The sequence below is a fragment of the Homo sapiens genome, chromosome 2, assembly GCF_000001405.40.
Source record: "Homo sapiens chromosome 2, GRCh38.p14 Primary Assembly".
NCBI classification, from domain to species: Eukaryota; Metazoa; Chordata; class Mammalia; order Primates; family Hominidae; genus Homo; species Homo sapiens.
In genome coordinates, this window is record NC_000002.12 from 86732198 (window position 1) to 86753827 (window position 21630).

At 39.4% G+C, this 21630-nt stretch overlaps 1 protein-coding gene across 1 annotated transcript in view; it reads left to right on the plus strand.

Moving 5' to 3' along the window:
- The window catches only part of RMND5A (required for meiotic nuclear division 5 homolog A), a 57751-nt gene that overhangs the window by 11907 nt on the left and 24214 nt on the right, over window positions 1-21630 (plus strand). The window contains exons 2-4 of the mRNA NM_022780.4: window positions 8730-8872; window positions 19699-19833; window positions 21261-21361. Of these exons, the coding sequence (NP_073617.1) occupies window positions 8730-8872; window positions 19699-19833; window positions 21261-21361 (379 nt within the window). The remainder of the gene's footprint in view (window positions 1-8729; window positions 8873-19698; window positions 19834-21260; window positions 21362-21630) is intronic.

Consider the following 21630-nt stretch of genomic DNA (forward strand, 5'->3'; position numbering starts at 1 on the left):
TTTTATTATCTCCTGATGGCAGACATTTCAGGCTGCAACATGGTGTGCTGCCTACCAACCAGCTGTTTAGTTTTAGCAATGCTATCTTTAACAGTGTGTTTGTGCAGTTGAACCCCCTCCCCCCATATCATAAAAATAAGTGGCAGACGGAAAATTAAAAGTGCAGATACTGAGTAGGGATGAGAAACGTACTTGTCAATATTAATGATATATTTGTCTAGATTGTATTAAGGTGAGCCAAAATAGTGGGTAAATCTTGTCACGGAGCTGGACACGAGACGTGCTTTTTTTTGAGGCTTGTGATCAGTAGGGAAGAAAGTAAAACAAATGTATGTACAAAATGCTAAAAGTGTATTGAAGGTGTAACCAAGGTATTAGTAGGGATTTTATAGTTTTTAGCTTTGTGCAAACCAGTCACCCTTTTAATGTGTACGTTTGTTATACCTTCCTATATTCTGACTTAGAATATACTTTTATAGGGTCACATTATATATTAGAGATGTTTCATTGCATCTTTGACAAATGTGGAAATAGTTTTGTAAAAAAGAAACTGTCTCAAAAGTGACTTGAGTCAGAGCACAAGCCCATTAATTCCTGGGGTTGGTGGGAGAGGTCATTATTTGGAAGAGAGAAGGAACTTATAACTGATGCCAGGGGACTCTTTTGTGAATGTGTCTTATTTGAAAATATGTGTGCATATGTGTGTTTGTATGTTTGTGTTGATCTTGGGTACTGTGACCTTGTTGAACTCTCATCTATTCTTGGATTGTGTTTGTGTGTAGATTCTTTGGGATTTTCTACTTAGGCAATAATGTTATTGACAGACAGGAACAGTATTATTTCCTAACTTACTTGGTATTTGCAGAACTTAGGCTGCAGTGTTACTGTGTAGAAGATGCTAAACATTCTGTGAGAGAGTGAGGGGTCAGTGGACTGCTGAGTGAAACTGCTGGCAATTTCAGAGGGTGTTGGTAGTACCAGACAGTCTTCAATGCTGGGTTTGAAATTGAGATTATGTAATACATAATTAATTATTTTCATATTTATTCTTTTGGTAACTAGTTACTGAACGTGTAGTATTTGCCAGTTACTATACTAAACGTTGGGGATTGGTCATATTTCCTACTAAAGTTAATTTTGTGGGAGTAATGGACAAATAACTATTTACAACAAAGTGTGAAACTCTGATAGGGAAGTATAGGATGCTATGGAAACAAACATTTTTCTTATTTATTGTTTCTGTGAAACTAGTGGGCATACATCCTAAAATGGCAAAGCAGTGAGGCTCAAGGGCAGAACTTGAAAATTTTGAGTATCGTGCTTAAAATCTGTTTATATGATAAAAGGTGCTGTTCTATTTTATTGAAAATTTTAACTTAATAAAGCAACACACGTAGATGGTCTACATATGTTCGTTCTTTGCTTATATTGAACATGCTAATTCTTACACTTGTTTAATCATAAAACTGACTTTAAAAAGTACTTGTGACCCTCCAGTGATGAGTGAGCATTGCGTCAGAGTTGTTTCTTTCAGGCTCATGCATTGGGCCTGGGTTCCCTGGGTTTACTACATTGGAAGACACAGTTAGTGCAGGACTTTCTTCTGGGTGACAAGTGACCACCGCAGTGGCCAACCTGGATGTAGTTATGGTGGAGATGGCTGTCACAGTAATTCCCCAGCTTTTCTTCTAGGAACTGAATCCAGTTTCTTTCACATAAAGGTTCTCCTAGAAGCAGGTTGTGTTTTCATACAGAGAAATCAAAAGAACATTAGAACTCTCCCAGTAGGACTTATAGAAGTTTGGTTGACTGTCAGTCTGGTCATTATAGCAATTTTCAAACCTGTTTTAAACCTTTGGCTGCTTTCCACTGAGTCCATTTGAAAATGCATTAGTGAACTCTTTCTCTCTTAACAGGGCTTTCCCAGGGTTCTCTTTCAGATTATTCCATTCTGCTTTTCTTGAGTTTCCAAATACCTTACAGAAATTATTTTTCCTTGGAGCATTCTGAGAACTCTCAGTATTAATTAATTGGCCATAAACTGCTTGTATCTGTCATTCATAAAATTGAAAACCAAAAATTAGAGGAATTTGTAGATGGTAAAGGAAGAAAAGGAGGTAACAAATAGCACCAAACTCCAGATATGTAAGTTACTACGATTTGAAAATATCAGTGGATTTCAAGGTTGGTGCGTGGAAGTTCAGTGGTAAATTCTAGGTGACCTCTTTCCTCCAGCTTGGCTTCATCCTTTTTTATTTTTATTATTATTGTTTTCGAGACCGAGTCTCGCTCTGTCACCGAGGCTGCAGTGCAGTGGCGCAATCTCGGCTTACTGCAGCCTCTGCCTCCAGGGTTCAAGCTATTCTCTTGCCTCAGCCTCCTTAGTAGCTGGGATTGCAGGTGCTCACCACCACGCCCAGCTAATTTTTGTATTTTTAGGAGAGATGGGATTTCACCATATTGGCCAGGCTGGTCTCAGACTCCTGACCTCAAGTGATCCGCCTGCCTCGGCCTTCCTTAGTGCTGGAATTACAGGCGTGAGCCATCGTACCTGGCACCCTTTTTATTTTTTGTATTTTTCCTACCTTGTTGTCTGCTGGTTGTAGAAATAAATGTGTCTGGATGGATAGGAGGTATGACTTCTTTTTAAAAACATTTTCTTTATTTCTGAAAGAAATCCAGTACTCATTAACAGTCACTCTCCATTCCCACCCTGTCTCCTCCCACTCCAAATACCATTAATCTATGTCTGTCTCTATAGATTTGTCTATTCTGTACCTTCCATGCAAATGAAATGACACAATATGTGGCCTTTTGTGTCTGGCTTATTGAATACTTAATGTAATATTTTCAAGGTTCATCTGTGTCATAGTATGTATCAGTACCTCATTTCCTTTAATGACTGGATAATCCATTGTTTATCCATTCATTCTTTGGAGGTTTGGTTTCTTACCAGTTTTTGTCTTATGAATAATGCTACTGTGAACATTCTGATTCAGGTTTTTGTGTGGACATGTTGTTCTTTTGGGTATATAACTAGGATATAACTAGGAGTGGAATTTCTGGGTCATATAGTAACTGTTTAACGTTCTGAGGAACTGCCAAATTGTTTTCTATGGTGTCTGCACCATTTTATATTCCACTAGCAATGGATAAGGCTTTGAATTTCTCCACATCCTTTCCAACAGTTATTATTGTGTTTTCCTGATAGCCAATCTTGTGGGCATGAAGTAGTATCTCATTGTAGTTTTGATTTTCATCTCATAATGACCAATAATATTGAGCATCTTTTTGTGTGCCTGTTGGCTATTTGTATATCTTCTTTTGAAAAATGTCTATTCAAATCCTTGACCTTTTTTTTTTGAGTTAGGGTCTTGTTTTTCATCCAGGCTGGAATGCAGTGGCGCAATCATAGCTCACTGCAGCCTCAGCCTCCTGGGCTCAAGGGATCCACTTGCCTCGGCCTCCCTAGTTGCTATGACTACTGGCATGAGCCACTGTGCCCAGCCACATTTTTGTATTTTTTTTGTAGAGACAGAGTCTCGCCTTGTTGTCCAGGCTAGTCTCAAACTCCTGGGCTCAAGTGGTTCACCTGCCTTGGCCTCCCAGAGTGCTGGGATTACAGGCGTGAACTGTGCCTTGTGCTTTGCCCATTTTTAAATTGCATTGTTTGTCTTGTTATTGTTGAGCTTTAAGAGTTCTTTATATTATTCTGGATACTAAACCCTTATCAGAATGTGATTTGCAAATATTTGCTCCCCTTCTATGAATTGTCTTTTCACTTTATTGATAGTGTTTGCAACACAAGTTTTTAATTTTGATGAAGTCCATTTTAATTATTTTTTCTTTGGTTGCTTGTGCTTGTGGTGTCATAGCTGAAAAACCATTGCCTAATTCAAGGTCAGAAATGCATCTGTTTTCTTTTAAGAATTTGATAGTTTCAGCTCTTACATTTAGGTCTTTATTCCATTTGAGTTAATTTTTATTTTTGACTTTATTTTTTTGAGACAGGGTCTCACTCTGTTGCCCAGGCTGGAGTGTAGTGACATGCTTACAGTTCACTGCAGCCTCTACCTTCTGGGCTCAAGCAGTCCTCCCACCTCAGCCTCCCTAGAAGCTTGGACTGTGGGCGTGCACCACCACCCCCTGCTAATTTTTGTATTCTTTGTAGGGATGGAGTTCTGCCATGTTGCCCAAGTTAGTCTCAAACTCCTGGGCTCAAGCAATCCACCCACCTCGGGCTCCCAAAGTGCTTGTATTACAGGCTTGAACCACTGCATTTGGCTCATTTGAATTAGTTTTTATATATTATGTGATTCTTTTGCATGTGGATATCTTGTTGTCTCAGCACCATTTGTTGAATATGGCTCTAACAAAAGCAAAAACAAAAACTATTTTTTCCTCACTTTATTTACCATCAATTCAGATACTTATATGTCTTGCACATTTGCAGGCACTATTAATATAAAACTGGAGTATACAATTTATAATAAGGACTTGGTCTTCCCTTGGGGGCTTATGTTTAGTAGAGACTGATGACGGTATATATATATGAAATTGTTAAAATGGGTTATAATTAAGTGCTGGGGGAGTAGGGGAGAGATCAGAAGTTACCAGGAATTCAGAAGAGGGAGTAAGTCTGTGGTCAGATGGGTTCATAGAGAAGATGAGGCTGTTGAGGTTAGGTGTGCTTTAGGTACAGAAAGATCAGAAATGGCCAGAACAGAGCTGCTGAAGCAATTAGATGCTTTTGGTCCAAGAAATCTGTGGAACACCTTTTAAACAGATTTTGAAATTTTCTTGAAGTACCAAGTCTTGCCTTAGCCTAAATTATGTTATTAGAAGTTGGAAGCCTAATTGTGTTATTGGAAGTTGGAAACACTTGATAGAAACTTTGTGCAACTGTATTTAGAGATAAGGAAAGCTTTTTTCTTATCTTTTCATTTATCTCAGTAGTTGTCATTGAACCAGACTTAATATAGTCCCTCTTCACAGTTCCCTGTAACCTTTTAGGATTTCTTTTCATAGAATTTTAGAGACACTATTCTTGTCATCGTCACTGATTACTTCCACATTGTAAATCCAGTGGCCAATTCTCAGTCCCCATCTTACTTGACCTAGTAGCACATCAACACAGCTGGTTACTCCTCCTTCCTTGACACATTTTCTTCTCTTGGTTTCCCCAACATTATACTTTTCTTGAGTTTCCTCCTCCATCACAGTTAGTGCTTCAGTAGTCTTTGTTAGCCTCCTTTTCCAGTTCTATTTCTTCCCAGCCTCATAAACTTGGAGTTCTCAAGACTCAGTTCTTTTATCACTTCTCTGTGTCTGTACTGACTCCCCTGGTGATTTCATATAGTCCCATGCATTAAGTATCATATATATATATATATATATGTCAGTGACTCACAAATTTGTATCTCCAGCACTAACACTGCTGTTGAACTCCAGGTTTGTATATCTCACCAACTCCTCCACTTATGCACTGTGGTGCCTACTCAATGTCTCAAACTTAACAAGCCCCAAACTGAACTTTCTCTCTCTCCTCTCCCCTCATACCTGCTTAGCCTTTATTCTTTTTTGGCAGGATGGGGAGTTGAGGTCTCGCTCTGTCACTCAGGCTGGAGTGCAGTGCTGTAGCTCCCTGCAGCCGAGACGTCCCAGGCTGAAGTGATCCTCGCACCTCAGCTTCCCAAGTAGCTGGGACCACAGTCGTGTGCCACCATGCCCAGCTAATTTTTGTATGTTTTGTAGAGACAGGGTCTGACTCTGTTGCCCAAGGTTGGTTTCAAACTCCTGTGCTCAAGTGATCCTCCTGCCTTGGCCTCCTGAAGTGCTGAGATTGTTTTTGTTTTAACTGAAGACAACTCCATCTTTCTAGTTGACCCAGGCTAGAAATCTTGGAGACATCTGTGAGTCCTTTTCTTCACTCATGTCCAGTCATGAAATCCTGGACTGAGCCAGTGTCATTTCTCATCTGGATTGCTGCCACAGCCTCTTATTTTCCTGCTCAGTTCTGGTACTCCCGTTGCCAGTTAGACTGACCATATTGAAATGTTTTATCGGCCAGGCATGGTGGCTCACGCCTGTAATCCGAGTACTTTGGGAGGCCGAGGCAGGAGGATTGCTTCAGCACAGAAGTTTGAGACCAGCCTGGGCAACATAATGAAGCCCTGTCTCTGCAAAAAATACAAAAATTATCCGGTGTGGTGGTGGGCGCCTGTCATCCAAGCTACTTGGGAGGCTGAGGTAGGAGGATTGCTTAAGCACGGGAAGCAGAGGTTGCAGTGAGCCCAGATTGTGCCACTGCACTCCAGTGTGGGCAACAGAGCGAGACCCTGTCTCAAAAAAAAAAAATGTTTTTTGTGGGTTTTTTTTTTAATTAGTTTACATGCCTTCTCTGCTCAAAACCTTGCAGTGGTCCCTTTCAGTCAAAGTAAAAGCATAAGTCTTTACAATGCCAAAGAGATCCTACCAAACCAGGACCATTATCTCTTGGACCTCTTCTTCTATTTTCCTTGGCCAGAAATCCACTTTTGACATGCTGACCTCTTTGTTGTTTGAATAGTCTAGGTGTATTTTTGCAGTAGGGCTTTTCTCCCCGCAGCCTGGCATGCTTACCCCAAAGTAGCCAGCCACATGGTAATTCCTTCACTTTTTTCAAGTCTTGCCTCCAGTGTCATCTACTCAGTGAAGCCTACCATGCCAGCACTGTTTTGAAGTTGCGGCTGCTCCACCCACACACACTCCCCATCTCGCTTACCCTGCTTTTCTTTCCCAGGTAGCATGTATCATCTTTTGTCGTAGTATATAATTTGCTTATTTTGTGTGTTACGTCTCTTGCCAGAAGTTAAGTTGTTGGGAAGGGATTTTTGGTTATTTTGTTTCACTGCTGTACCTGTCATATATAGTGAGTGCTCAATAAATATTGGTTAAATGAGCAGGCATCCTAGGGCTGTTTTACTCTTGGGCTCCTTGTTTAAATTCTCAGGTTCCATCCCGGACCTATTGAATGAGAAACTCTGGGGATGGGGTCCAGCTACTTTGTTTTAACTTTAAGTGATTCTGATGTAAATTAAAATTCAAGAAGCTCTTCTATATAATGTTGGTTAGGATTTCAGAAACCAGGCCTGTTGCTTACAGGTGGGAATACGTAGATAGAGAGAGAAATGACAAATACCATAACTGGGTTTGTTTTATCTGTCTGTTTTTCTCCCTTCTCCTCCTTTTTTTCCTGCTATAGGAACAAAATTTGGAGGGAGGTAGCTCAGGGAAAGGATGTAAACTGTAGTAACTTTTGGTTGATCTCATGTGTGTCAGGGGTCTTCAAAACCACCTTTAGGTTCCAGTGATTCATTAAAAGGAGTCACACAATTCAGCATATAATCATACTCTTAGCTAGAATTTATTACAGCAAAAGGGTGTAAAGCAAAATCACCAAAGGGAAAAGACTCATGGGGCAGAAGTCCAAAGTCCAAAGTTAGGCAGTCCAGAGTTAGGCAGTGGGTGCCCTGGTGACCAGCCCCCAATAAAAACCCTGGGCACTGAGCTTCTAATGAGCTTCCCTGGTAGGCAACACTTAACACTTCTCACAAACCATGGCTGCAGGAATTAAGCATATTCCATGTGACTTCACTGGGAGAGGACTATTGGAAGCTTTCTCCAAGCCAGGAGAAAGCCAGGTACTCACTGCCTAGCATGTATCAACATTCTAGATTCCCAGAAGGAAAGCAGATGTTCACCATAAATCACACTGTACAACAGTTTAGGCACAATGAGCCATTCTTTTCAGCTAGGGCAGGGGTCTCCAAACCCCCGGGTATGGACCAGTACCCCTCTGTGGCCTGTTAGGAACCAGGCCGTGCACAGCAGGAGGCAAGCAGCGGTGAACGAGCATTGCCGCCTGAGCTCCACCCACTGTCAGATCAGCGGCAGCATTAGATTCTCATAGGGGCATGAACCCTGTTGTGAACTGCACATTCGAGGGATCTGGCTCACGTGCTCCTTAGGAGAATCTAACTAACGCCTGATCTGAGGTGGAACAGTTTCATCCTGAAACCATTCCCCCCAGCCCTCGTCCGTGGAAGAAATGTCTTCCACGAAACTGGTCCCTAGTGCCAAAAAGGTTGGGGAACACTGAGTTAGGGAGTGATGGGAACACTCCCAAACTCCCAGGTTTCTATATGCCAGCCAAGAGGTGACTTTGTAAGCAGGACTTTCTAAGGGTAGTAGTCTATGACCTGCTGTGTTAACTCCTTTCTGCACATCGTGGTACCCAGGGAAGTTTGTTTTCTTCTACCTCTTTATATGGAATATGAAGCATTTGCACTAAATCATCTCTCTTGAGGAAATTTAGTAACAACCAGAACGTTTTGAGAATGACTTGAACAGTGTAACTGGGTTTAATAAGTGAGTTTATTCACTTAGACATATTTTCTCAAAAATAATACTGCCTTGACAGTATTATTCACAGCCTGTGCTGGTTGTTGTAATGATAAAAATGATTCCTTTCACAGTAAAATTTTCTTATTTCCAAAAATAAAAAAATTATATCTTTCTGAGTATCCATTTGAAAAATCACATCTATGAATGTGACCATCAGCTTCAAAGCAGATACTGGTTTTTCTTCACTTTTCTTCCATCTTTCATGGTCCAAAAGGCCCATTAGAAACTTGCCATCTTTGGGTTTGCTTAAGTGAGTAACCAATCCTTCCTTTGTTTTTTTATAGGCCAAGATGCTGAATTATCAGGGACACTTTCACTTGTTTTGACACAGTGCTGTAAAAGAATAAAGGATACTGTTCAAAAATTGGCCTCCGACCACAAAGACATCCACAGCAGTGTTTCTCGGGTTGGAAAAGCCATTGATAAGGTATGGTATTGAAAGAAGTGTTTTGTATTTTTTAGCATCATTCTTTTTCTTCTGTCAGTGCTTTGATAATACTAGCTTTCACAAATTACTTTATGCTATTCCTGTCATGTTTGCTTTTGATGACTTTTACAGGTCTAGTTTTACTATGTTATTCTTACTAAAGTTCCTTGTTGCTATTATTTAAAAAATAAAAGCAAAATTAAAACCCTCTGCTTTTATAGCTTTGTTGTTTATCCATTTGCATATATGACTAGAGCTCCTAGGGTCATGATAAATAAAGTTCCAAAGAAATTTTAACCCAGTATGTGGGAGTTTGTTTACCAGAAGTAACTTTTCCTAATTCCTGAATAATTCCCTAGCTGTGACTCTGTCTCTGTTATGGGATGATTAGAATAACAGCCTTGTATCAGTCTCCCCTGCATCATCCTAACTGTTTTCTTCCTATGGGCGTCCCAGCTACCTTTCAATTTTGCCTTCTGTGTGAATGAGTGAGTGAGTTGGTTGCTAGGCAGTGAGGCTGGTCACTTTGATTTGATGTTTTTTTTCTTGTGACATTTTTTGAGTAAGCCATCTTTGACCTGGTGGTTGACTTATAAGCAGTTACCATTTTTAGTACCAGCTGATTTTATTCATGGAGTTCATAGTCCTATTGGCACCTAAGAGAAGTAGTTCAAGGTTACTGTGTGATACCTCTGACTACTTCAGACATTGGGGAGATTGTGACTGGTTGGGGCATTTCTCTTCACACATCGTAAATGTCTGGGAGGGTAGGAAGAACTTTCGAGGAGTGCCCTTTGTAGCAAAGGCATCTTCTAAACAGTCTTATGAGTTAACTTAGTCTGTACTCACAAGAGTGATAGTTGTAACAGAGGTAATAGAAGCTCATTGAATCTGGAGAGTGGTTCGTGTAACTCATGGGTAGACCCAACTGTTAGAAATTATCCTGTGAAAAGGCTAGGCTTGACGCTGCTTGAGTCAGAACTATATGCTTATAAGGCAATACTGTTCACTGGTAGGTGTGGTATGACAAGACTGTGAGTGGCATGGGCTCAGAGGACTTGTTTTGGTAGTTGTGGCTTACAGAAGTGTTAGTGGCCTTTCAGAAAGTTCTCACTACTCCCATAGTGGTGTGAGGGGTTTGACTTGGCCAGAGAGTCGGAGGGTGGTTTTGGCAGCAGCAGGGTTCCAGCCACGTTGTTATGTCAGTGATGGCAGTCACCAGCAAAGTCTGGGAAGGCAGACTCTGGGGAGATTGTGACTGGGGAGATTGTGGGGAGATTGAGACTTTGGGGAGATTGTGAAATGGCTTTGAGGTTGTGAAGCCTGTTTGGTAACTCCAAGAGAGTGAACACAGTTTTAGAAGTGGGTTTGGCATCAACCCTCTCTGGTACTATGATATTTGAAGTCTTCAGTTGGTTCCTGGAGTGGTTGTTGGTGTGTATGAGCTTAAGAACTGTGGGAGTGGTGGTGGGACACTTTATTTTCTTCCAGCAGCTGTATCCTTCTAGAATGTGATGGGGCACTTTAGAGATGGTCTTCATTTGTGGGTGAAGAACCCTCAGTTCCTCTAGAGGTACAGTAACTACTGGTGGTGTCTAAGAAGATTCACATTTTGATGTTGACAGTGACCAAGGCATCCTGGTGATTCTAAATGGCTCAAAGTTCAGAGAGAACCCCAGGAAGTTCTTGGGGACATCTGCTTGACCACCAGGCTGCCTGCAGTTATAACAGAAGGTCAGCATTTGGACAGTAGAACCAAAGGTGGTATGACAGTGAGAAGAGCTAAAGCTTCCAAGGCAGCCAATCAGAGATTCTTGGAATAAGGGGGGATGGGCTCAGCAACTATAATTCTAGTGTGTGGGCTACTGACCAGGATCTGGAGCAGTTGGGCAAATAATTCACCAATTATGCTTTCTGCAGCTGGTAGGCTGACCATATATGCCATGTATGTCCCTGTTTCCTAGTTTATGTTTTTTGTCCTGTCATGATGATCAGAATCTTCTTCTGCTCTTGTCCTGCTTGCTCCTGGTGCCTGGCTGAGCATCTCTTACTCCAGACCTAGCAGGTCTTTATAGATATTCATAAGGGTTGTCAGATATTTTGACTAATCTTTAAGGCAAAACATTATCTGGATGTACTTGGTGCCAAACATGGAAGTATCTTTTTGGAAGTGGATATCAAGGGAACACATTTATAATGAATAATCTACATTCTGGCTTATTTGGGCAGGGGGATGTGTTCATGGTAAAGATTCCTAATCACATATTTTAATTTACTCATTGCTCTTTTGAGGACTTTTTTTTTTTTTATGCCCTTGGAAGTTATAAGGACTTTTTCAAGTAATTCTTATACAGTTTCTTTCAAAAAAATTGGGGTGTTTTTGGTTTTTGTTTTTGTTTCTGTTTTTGTTTTGAGAAGGACTCTCACTCTTTTTGCCCAAGCTGGAGTGCAGTGGCACCATCTCAGCTCACTGCAAACTCTGCCTCCCAGGTTCAAGCGATTCTCCTGCCTCAGCCTCCTGAGTAGTGCCCAGCCCAAAAAATTGTTTCATGTTCCTGTGAAAGTAGTTTTGGTTCTAGGTGACCTGGATTCTGGATTCTTCTCATTCGTCATATGAAACTATATTATTTAGTCGGCTGGGCGTGGTGGCTCACACTTGTAATCCCAGCACTTTGGGAGGCCGAGGCAGGCGGATCACCTGAGGTGAGGAGTTCGAGACTAGCTTGGCCAATATGGCAAACTCCCATCTCTACTAAAAATACAAAAAAAAATTAGGCACATTCCTCTAATCCCAGTTACTTGGGAGGCTGAGGGAGGAGAATCGCTTGAACCTGGGAGGCGGAGGTTGCAGTGAGTCGAGATTGCACCACTGCACTCCAGTCTGGGCAACAGAGCGAGACTCCATCTCAAAAAAAAAAAAAAAATACATACATACATACTATATTATTTAGCTGACACTGAATAGTGTTTGTGGTACTGTAGTCTGCCACCACAGAGGAAAGCCTGGATCTTTTAGCTCAGTTCCCTAGTATCTTTCAGTACACACTCTCCCCGTATTTTTGGCATCTACTTGGCCTCAGCTGAAGAGGAAGCTGTTTCCCCAATAGAAGTACCTAGACGTTGTGAATGGGCTTCTCACATACATCAGGAATTCCGTGTAGGCTGTTTCACATAAGACTGCATTGACTTGTTAAGTCCTCCAGGAGCTCTTTTAATTTGAACCTGGTAGTTGTGTAAGCTCTGGGCAGCCTGTTGTAAAGGCTGGGTGGACCTGATTGGTGGTGACCAAACAGGATAAAGCTGAATCCAGTGTGGCATAAGGCTTTTAAGAACCATGCCAAACAGACCTGAGTAATAAACTGGAATGTCCATCAGCCTGTGAGTACCACTTTATGGACACATGCTCCCACCCTTACAGGATGAGGACAAAGAAGCCAGTGGCTCCTGTATGAGCAGGCTGGTTTTGAGTGAGAAACATTAGTAAATTTTAGTCATGCTCAGTGGTATTTTTCCTTTTATATTTTAATACTTATGTTTTAAAGTTCCCTACCTATCATGTCTCTGAAAATATAAGCAGAATAGAAGTTTCTGGTGGTGGTAGCCAAGATATTGTTTGGCTTTTAATTATTATGAACAGAGTCTCGCTCTGTTGCCTAGGCTGGAGTGCAGTGACACCATCACAGCTCACTACAGCCTTGACCTCCCTGGGCTCGAGTGGTCCTCCCACCTCAGCATCCAAGTCCCAGACAAGTAGCTGGGCCTACATGCGCTTGCTACCATGCCCAGTTAATTTTTTTCATTTTTGCGTAGAGATGTGGTCTTGCAGTGTTGCCCAGGATAGTCTTGAACTCCTGGCCTCCCATTGTTGGGATTATTGGTGTGAGCCACTGTGCCTGGCCCATTATTTATTTAAAATAAATAATATTTGTTCTGTGACAATTTTTTTTTTTTTAGTAAAAATAATGTATTTGGGCTGTTCTTGATTTCCTCTCCCATTTTTAGATAATCTAGAATTCAGTCCAGTTTAGGGTATTTTATTCAGTATTTTATTTAGTCAATTGACTTTTAAAGTTTACTTCCTAAGAAAAGTCAATAAAAATGATTATTGCTTTAGACTTCTAGGTATGTGTGCATATGTGTTAAATAGTACTAAAGATTTTAATATCTCAAATCTGATGTGGTATAATTAAAAGCTGACCACATACTACATGTCCTTTATAAGATTGCTGTTTTGTATATGTAAAATAACTGGAAAAATTCTGAGGCTACATGAAAGAAGTTTGCATGGAATAGACACTGCTTATTATAAAGTAAAGGTAGTTGCTATCTTAAATTTGACTTGGAAGAGTGGGTAAGATTTAGAGCAGCAGAACAGTGAGATGAGATTTTTCCTTGAGGCTCGGAAAGGGCAAAACAGCAACTGAGAATATGCCTGACTCATGTTTAAGATGCTTCAAGATTGACTTGATTAGAGTGACTGCTCCTGTTGGGAATAGGGAAAGGTAAATGATGGAAGGCCTGAGAGGTGTGGATTTGATCAGATGATGAAAGCAGTTGAGGATTTACTTGACCTCATTAAGTAGGATGAAAACAGACTAAATAGTAGTCATAGGTAGGAGGATAATAGCTATCACATATTGAGTGTTGACCATGTTCCAGATAGTGAGCTAAGTGCTTTACATACATTTATATCTATCCCATGATGCAGGGACATTATTCCCATTTTATATATGAGGAAACTGAGACTCAATACCCAGGTATATAATTTGGAAGTAGTGGATCAAGGTTTGGAAAAAGTTTTTACTCAAGAATCTGTTCTTAAACACTGTGCTGTACTAGGAAATCACTGAGGCCATTGCAGAGCTGGTAATGTTGAAGGGGAACAATAATAGTTAAAAAAAATTTTAAACCTCATTATCTAAACAGATCTTTTGCCACTGGGTGGAGTATCTACATTGGTGAGGCAAAATGCTGACTGTATTAAGGAGTGAATGGAGTAATGGTATAAAAAAATGACATATAGAATATTTTAAGATAGTTCTGGGTGAGCAGTCCAGAACTGCCTTTTATGTTGGTATGTGATAAACAAGGTCTGTGTGTTGGGTAGAGAGGGACAAAAGGACTTAATATCCATTAAACTGTGCTAGCTAATCCAGTCTGCAATTGCATTTAAGTGCTTTTAAATTAATGAATATTAATATCTCTGCATGCTTTCGTGTATTTGTTTTTGTTTATATTTTCTAATAAGGATTCTTTTAAATACAGAAGCAGAAGGTTTGGTGGCAACCTGGCCCTCAGATTCAGCTTTGGTTAGGTTTGGCCTGGCTCTCAGATTCAGCTACTGTGTATTAAAGGTTTACTGATGGATGGATACTCATAGAGGTTTTCATGTACATTATTTACCTTTATCTTCACCAAAGACTTGTAAGGTCGAGATTATTGTCTCTAGATACAGATGTGAAAACTTAGATTTGTAAGTAACCTGCCTGAAGTCACAGAGTTGGGATTAAAACCCAGATTTTAAGACTTGGAGGAACCTTTCTCAACTGGAGTTCCTTGAGAGAATTCATCTCTAGTGCCCTGAGGGCACCCACTCTACATATGAATTTCTCTCCTTTCCATAGAATGGTAAGAGATACATATCATCCTTGGAAGAATTAATAAAATAGCCACAGAAAGGCAGATAACTAATAGTGGAGGGATAGGGATGCAAATGTGACAGAAAGGCCTGGCAGAGTGGTTTGGCACGTTACTCCCTCATTTTTTAAATAAAGCAATAACATAACAGTGTGAATCTACCTTTCTCTTAATGTTGATAACCAAAGAAGAGGTATAAATACCGTAAGGAGAATATGGAATGTCTACATCAAAAAATGCATCTACAAAATGCTGATTATGACACACTACCAAGTTTATTTTCCAGCCCTTGGTTTGTAAAGCACTGCTATCTGGTATATGCCTAAATATGGATTATTTCATCATAGGACAGGTGCCTCATTATCAGCTTTACTAGGTATTGTAAAATTTTCCCCTGAAGGGTTTATACCAATTTACAGCCCTACCAAACACCTATAACACTTCCTGCTTCCTCATTTCTCACCTATACCTGGTATTATCAGACTTCAAATGTTTAAAGATTAATCAGATGGGTGTGAAGTAGTATCTAGTTGTACTAATTTTGCCTTTCTTTGACCATCTTGAAGGTGGGGCATCTTCTCATGTTTAACATTAGGAATTTCCCATTTGTGCATTTCATGTTCTGTCCATTTTTTCTGTTAAGTTATCTTTCTTATTGAGAGGTGTGTGTTTGTTTCAAACTCTTCTGAATACTAATCTTGTGTGGTTTGTATGCGAAGTAGCTATCGTCTGTTAGTCTGAGGAGAACCAGAATCCAGGTCTTCTTACTCTGTTAAGTATCCTTTGCTGTCTGCCTCTCACTGCTAAACCAGATTAACTGGATGCTTAAAAGGGAAATTAATTCCTGGTAGGTGCAACAATAGCACATTTTGTTGGTTCATACACTAATTTTTCTTCAAAGTAGATGGAGAAGTTTCAAAATACATGTTAATACTATTAGGGAATTGGTACTTAGGAATTAAATACTGAGTTTTATATATATTGTGACCACTGTCTGCTCAGTCATTATAATTTTATAAAATATATTTGAGAAACGGATGGGTTTTTGACGGTAAACAGTGAAAGCCATTTCCGACTGATTTGTGTATTCATGATACGGCATGATACGGCCTGTTTAGATCGCACACTTTCATAATGATGTTGTATCAAAGTTATTTACTCCTCTTCTGCCTCAGCTTCTAGATTTAGTATGTCCTGGATTTCTCCTTCCAAGTCAGAACATCCTCTCCGGATGGACACACCCTTGGATGTGTGCTTTTTTGCTTTTGGTTCTTGTTTGGATCCTTTCTTCCCAATTAAGAACAGGATGCCAAAGCTTTTCTTTGCTTAAAAAATATGAAAAGAAAAAGTATAGTAAGACAGAAGATGTTAATTATAGATGGTATTTCTCTTCATTAGCCACCTCTTGGCTGGTTTGCAGTGCTGTGGATTTTCTGGACAGCCATGCAAATGAGCTTGGTTACCTAGCAACAGAAGCTGGAACTAATGCTAGCTCTGATGCAACAGTGAGTAAGAACCTGCAGTTATAACAAAAGGAGTTTGACAGTGTATTGCATTTCCTCAACCTCTATATATTTTATAATCTTAGCTTTAATTTTTAATGCATGTGACCAGAAAATAAGCTATGGAAGTTTACTTATCTACCTCAGTAGTTTATACTGGAAAATCAGAATGGTAGAAGGGAGCTCAGAAGTGTCCAGAAAACAATCGAATGCATTGCTTATTCATGCTTCTTTTCCAAGAGCAGCAAATAAGTTACGAGCTTGAATGTAGTTAGATTTTGAGTGTAAGGGTGTTTGACTTTTCTTACCTATGTAGTAGTGACCATAGTAAGCCTTAAGAAAATAGAGATACACATAGGGCATTGTTGTAAAACTTTGTAGCAAACCCAAAGAAAATTGTTTAAATATTAGACTCTTTTTGTAATTTTCTAGTTGATGAATATTTACTTTTAATATGTATATTAAGGAAAGAATTGAAGGGATTATTTTGTTTGATCTGAGCAAGTACTGTCAGATGGTAGCTTATTAAAATTCTGACCTAATATATATATTACCGGATAAAATTGTTTCAACATGATCTGTGCTTTGAGCTGACCAGCGTGTCTTCCAGCGTTGTTTTATTTTTCCCTAAGGAATAGGTACTAATAAATTTGTTGTTTGGGGAAAAATCATTAAATGAATAAGTAGAAACCTGAAGGTTGTATTTGGATTTAATGCAGTTGATAAGTTAGTGAGAGAACTTTCTTAATTCATCTCTCTATTCTTTCCTTATACTGTGCATTTAGACATTTAGAGAGTTATGGGCAGGTTCCTGAGTTTGTAATAAACTCATCTTCAGATCTTTAGAAACCCATTCCTTTATGCATTTGAATGGCCCTTTGGGAAGTGGAATTTGGGAGAGAACAGCGTTGATCAGCCTCTGAGCTCTACTCCAGAAGAGACAGAAAGCAGTACCATCTCCGGTGTTGTAGTTGTCATAGACAGCATAAAGATAAAATAATTTACTTAAAAATACTGATGAACTGTTATAAAATTAGCTCTCAACAGGCAGAATCTGATAAATAGAAATTAAACATAATCTTATACAAGCAGTTGTGGTTCTTCAGTGCTAGTTAACAGTTTTTTCATTATATGCATGGATGCTCTTGCTTTAGCATCTAGGTACTTTGTATTATTTCTTTTTCTTTCTTTTTTTTTTTGAGATGGAGTCTTGCTCTGTCTCTCAGGCTGGAGTGCAATGGCGTGATCTCGGCTCACTGCAACCTCTGCCTCCCTGGGTTCAAGCGATTCTCCTTCCTCAGCCTCCCAAGTAGATGGGATCACAGGCACCCACCACCACGCCCAGCTAATTTTGTATTTTTAGTAGAGACGAGGTTTCACCATGTTGGCCAGGTTGGTCTTGAACTCCTGACTTCAGGTGATCCTCCCACCTCGGCCTCCCAAAGTGCTGGGATTACAGGAGTGAGCCATCATGCCCACCCCGTTATTTCTATTCTTTAGGTTAAATACTTGGCTAAGAAAAATGTCTGTGAAAAGGAAATGAATAAAAATTAAGACTGACAATATTCTTGGTTTTTTGTGTTTGTTTTGTCTTGAGTGATTCCAAACCTTAATGTATGTATTCAGTTTTAGGCTACTGTTTTCACATCTAGAGATAGGGTAGATAGCTGTTTATAGGGAGAAAAATGTGCTTAATTTTGGAGAAAAGCACTCCTGCATTGTGATTGTAAATAGTGGGTTGTTTGCAGTTGCTGTTGCTGGTTACTTACTACCTGTTCTTGTACATCATGTAAAATAATCCCATATTGGTTGGACTGTATATTTAAGCAGTGGTTGACTAGGATTGCAATTTTAGTTAAATCTAAATGGCCTTGTCTAGTTAAGTTTATATATTTTTAAAAAGAAATGCAAAACATTTATTAGGGAGCAATGCCTATGAAAGATAAAGGGTGCTGAAGTGGAATTAGGCTGGGAAAGCTTTCACACTGTGATGTACGTTTGCTCTTCTTTCACTCTTGATGTTTCATGTTCCTTCTGGTGTCATTTTCTTCTGTCTGAAGACTTTAGCAATACTTTTAGAGCAAGTCTGATGGCAGTAAATTCAGTTTCCCTCCGTCTGAGAATGTCTTTATTTCATCTTCATTCCTGAAGGATATTTTCACTGGATATAGAATTCTAGGATGACAGTTATTTTCTTTCAGTACTTGACAAATGTCATGCCACTTCTTTCTGGCCTCCATAGTTTCTGTTGAGAAATCTGTAGTCATTTGAATCATGGTTCCCCTGTAAGTAACATGTCACTTTTCTCTGGCTGCCTGCAAGATTTTTTGCTTTATCTTTAGTTTTAACAGTTTGAATGTGAGATGTTTGGGTCAGATTTCTTTGAATTTGTCCATGTTGGAGTTCACTGACCTTCTAGAATCTGAGATTTATGTCTTTTGCTAAACTTGGGAAATACTCTTCAACTATTTTTTTCTGTACCATACTGTTTCTCTTCTCCTAGTATTCCGATGACACACACGTTAGAGCTTTTGTAATTTTCCCACAGGTCCCTGAGGCTCTGTTTTTTTTTTTTTTTTAAACTGGTGTTCAGATTGGATGAATTCTATTGATTTTCACTGACTTTTTGCACTGCCACTTTGCTTCTGCTGTTGAAAAATTCATCCAATGAATTTTTTATTTTGGTTACTCTATCAGCTTTTTCCTTGCTAAGTCTCTCCCTTTGTTTCAAGATTGTTTGTATTTTTATAATAACTGCCCTAAAGTTTTGGATGGTTCCAGCATCTCTGTCATGTTGGCATTGGTGTCTGTTGATCATCTTTTTCCATGTGAGTTGAGATTTTCTTGGTTCTTTGTATGCCAAGTAATTTTGCAGTATCTTGAACATTTTGAATATGTATTATAGTACTCTGGGTCTTGTTTAAGTTCTGTGGAGAGTGTTGGTATTTTTGTTTTAGCAGGCAATCAACCTTGTTGGATTCAGGCCACAAGTTCTAACCAGTCTTTTCTGGGTTGTAGTTTCAGTGTTAGTTTTGTTTCTAAAGCCATTACAGTTATTTAGATTTGTCCTGTGTGTGTAACACCTGGTAGCCAATATGGGACCTAGGAATTAGGTCTATTCCCTAGTTCAGTTTTCAAAATCTGTAGTATGCTGTTTAGAGTCAGGACCATGCATGTATAGCTCAAAGGCAAACCCAGAGGTGTAGATAAACCACTCTCTTAACTAGTTGGCCATGCCCCCACAACCACTTTCAGCCTCAATACTGCAGTTGTTGGGATGTGCCATGGATTATTATGTTGATAGGCATATGTGTTTTCTCCTTTTTTCCCCTCCCATTATAGACAGTGCTGCAGTGGGCATGCTTTTACAGGTCATCATTGCATTCCTCTAAAAATATTGCTGCATATAATGCCTAGAAATCAGTTCATTCGCTTGATTTTATTTTATTCATGGACACCATTATTAAATCTACTTTAAAAAAACATTATCTAAAAATATACCTATTTACTCTTCTAGCATGACAAGTTTTAGAAAGGAGCAGTGGAAAAATTCCTTCCTTTGGGACGCTATAAATTGCAGTTGGGTTCTTATTGGGGTATCTCAGACTGAAACAAAGACCATTTTTTTCCTGTTAAGTGGGGTGAAAATAATCTATTTATGATTCCCTTTCTCTTTCTTTTCCCCAGAATTTTGATTCTGACATTAGCAGTGTGGGAATAGATGGCTGCTGGCAGGCAGACAGCCAAAGGCTTCTCAATGAGGTGATGGTGGAGCACTTCTTTCGACAAGGAATGCTGGATGTGGCTGAGGAGCTCTGTCAGGTAACAGTGTGCCAACTGGGAGGATATGAAAAAGAAACAAGGGAACTCCTTGGAGTTTATAGTATTTGCAGGGTGGGGTTTTGAGTCTTCCTCTAGCTATAGATAGATTTTTAATATTTAAATTATCAGAGATGACCTCATTTTACTAGGAGTATTTTGGGGAATTTTTTAAGTGGCAAAAATTATAGTTCTAGAACTTGTTATCCAGATCATTTTTTTCTTGTTCCTGTCCCAGAAGGTTAGTCCCAGTTCATGAATCAAAGGGCGCAAAAGCGATATTCTTTCTTCATGTCCATTTTTGATATAGAAGGTTAGTATAGCAGACAAGAGGAAAGGGACAAAAACATTGATGTTTGTTCTTCTGTTCTAGCCCAGCTTAAACGATTTTATCAAATGAATTTCCAGCTAAAATTTTTTACTTCGCATTAGCAGCATTTGTCTTTTATTTCTATCACACATGAGTTAGAACTCTACAACAGTTTACCAATACCATGTAGTCATAATAGTAGTAGCTGCCATATATTGAGTGCTTACCTTAAGCCAAGCCCTGCCTTTATTCCTTGCTGCAATCCCATGAAGTAAAAATTATTGTTTCCATTCTACAGATGAAAAATCTAAGGTCTGGAGAAGTAAGTTGCCCGAGGCCTTAACAGGTTCTTTGTGAAAGAACTGGGATTCAGTCCCTGATTCATATGTCTTCACACTCCGTTCTAAGCCACCATGTGCTGTTGCATTTTTGTTTGGAAACATGAAGGACCGAAAGAATTAGTTTAAAATCAGTCTGTAAACCAAACCTCTAATCTAAGCCTTTTCTATTTTAAACAATTCAGATAAATGATAACTCGGTTTTTCTCTGTACCTTACAGGGATTTTGTGTATGTGTCCATGTAATTTCCTGCAGTAAACTGTCATTGAGGATTGTTTGCTTTTAAGTAACAAAAGACCCACAATTACAGTGGCTTAAGCAAAAGTGAAATTTTTTTCTTGCACAGAAATCGGTAGTAAGACGTCCACAGCATGTTTGGTAGCTCTGCATTGTGAAACTCTTAGGGACTTAGCACCTTGTACCTCTGTTATTCCCAGGGTGTCTCCTGTCTTCAGAGTCCAGGATAGCAGCCAAAGCTCCAGCCATACCTTTGTATCCCAGAAAGGGGCAGAGTGCATATTTATGTTTCATTGGTCAGAACTTAACGTCTTACAAAGCCATACCCAGCTTTATTCCATTTGCTTATGTACCCTGCTGAAATTTGGGGATTCTACTATGGAAAAGAGGGGAAGAATGTACTAGGGGGCAGTCATCAGTCTCTACTATAGGGAATTATCTTTAATGGCTTGCCCCATATTTTACAATCTAGAATATACTTTTACCACTAGCTCCTTACCCTGATTACTGCTAACAAAAGTTCTTTCTTTCTTTCTTTTTCCAGGAATCTGGTCTTTCTGTAGACCCAAGTCAGAAGGAACCATTTGTGGAGTTAAATAGAATATTAGAGGCATTAAAGGTCAGAGTTCTGAGACCTGCTCTGGAGTGAGTATTGAGTTTGCTTTCTTTTGAGTACTTTGAGAACTCTCTGTAAGAAAACTCAATCAGAAAACACATTAGAGATTTTTAGATATATTTATCTTACCTGTGGTAGACTTCAGAGAAATCAAAGGAGAATTATTTTATTTATTTTGGCTAAGTGAAATATGGGGGGTGTGCAATATGAGAAAATGGTTGGAGCTTATTTCACTTATCAGTTGGTCTGAATTCCCATGAGAGAAAAGGGTTTTCTGTTTCCAGGCTACACCACCACT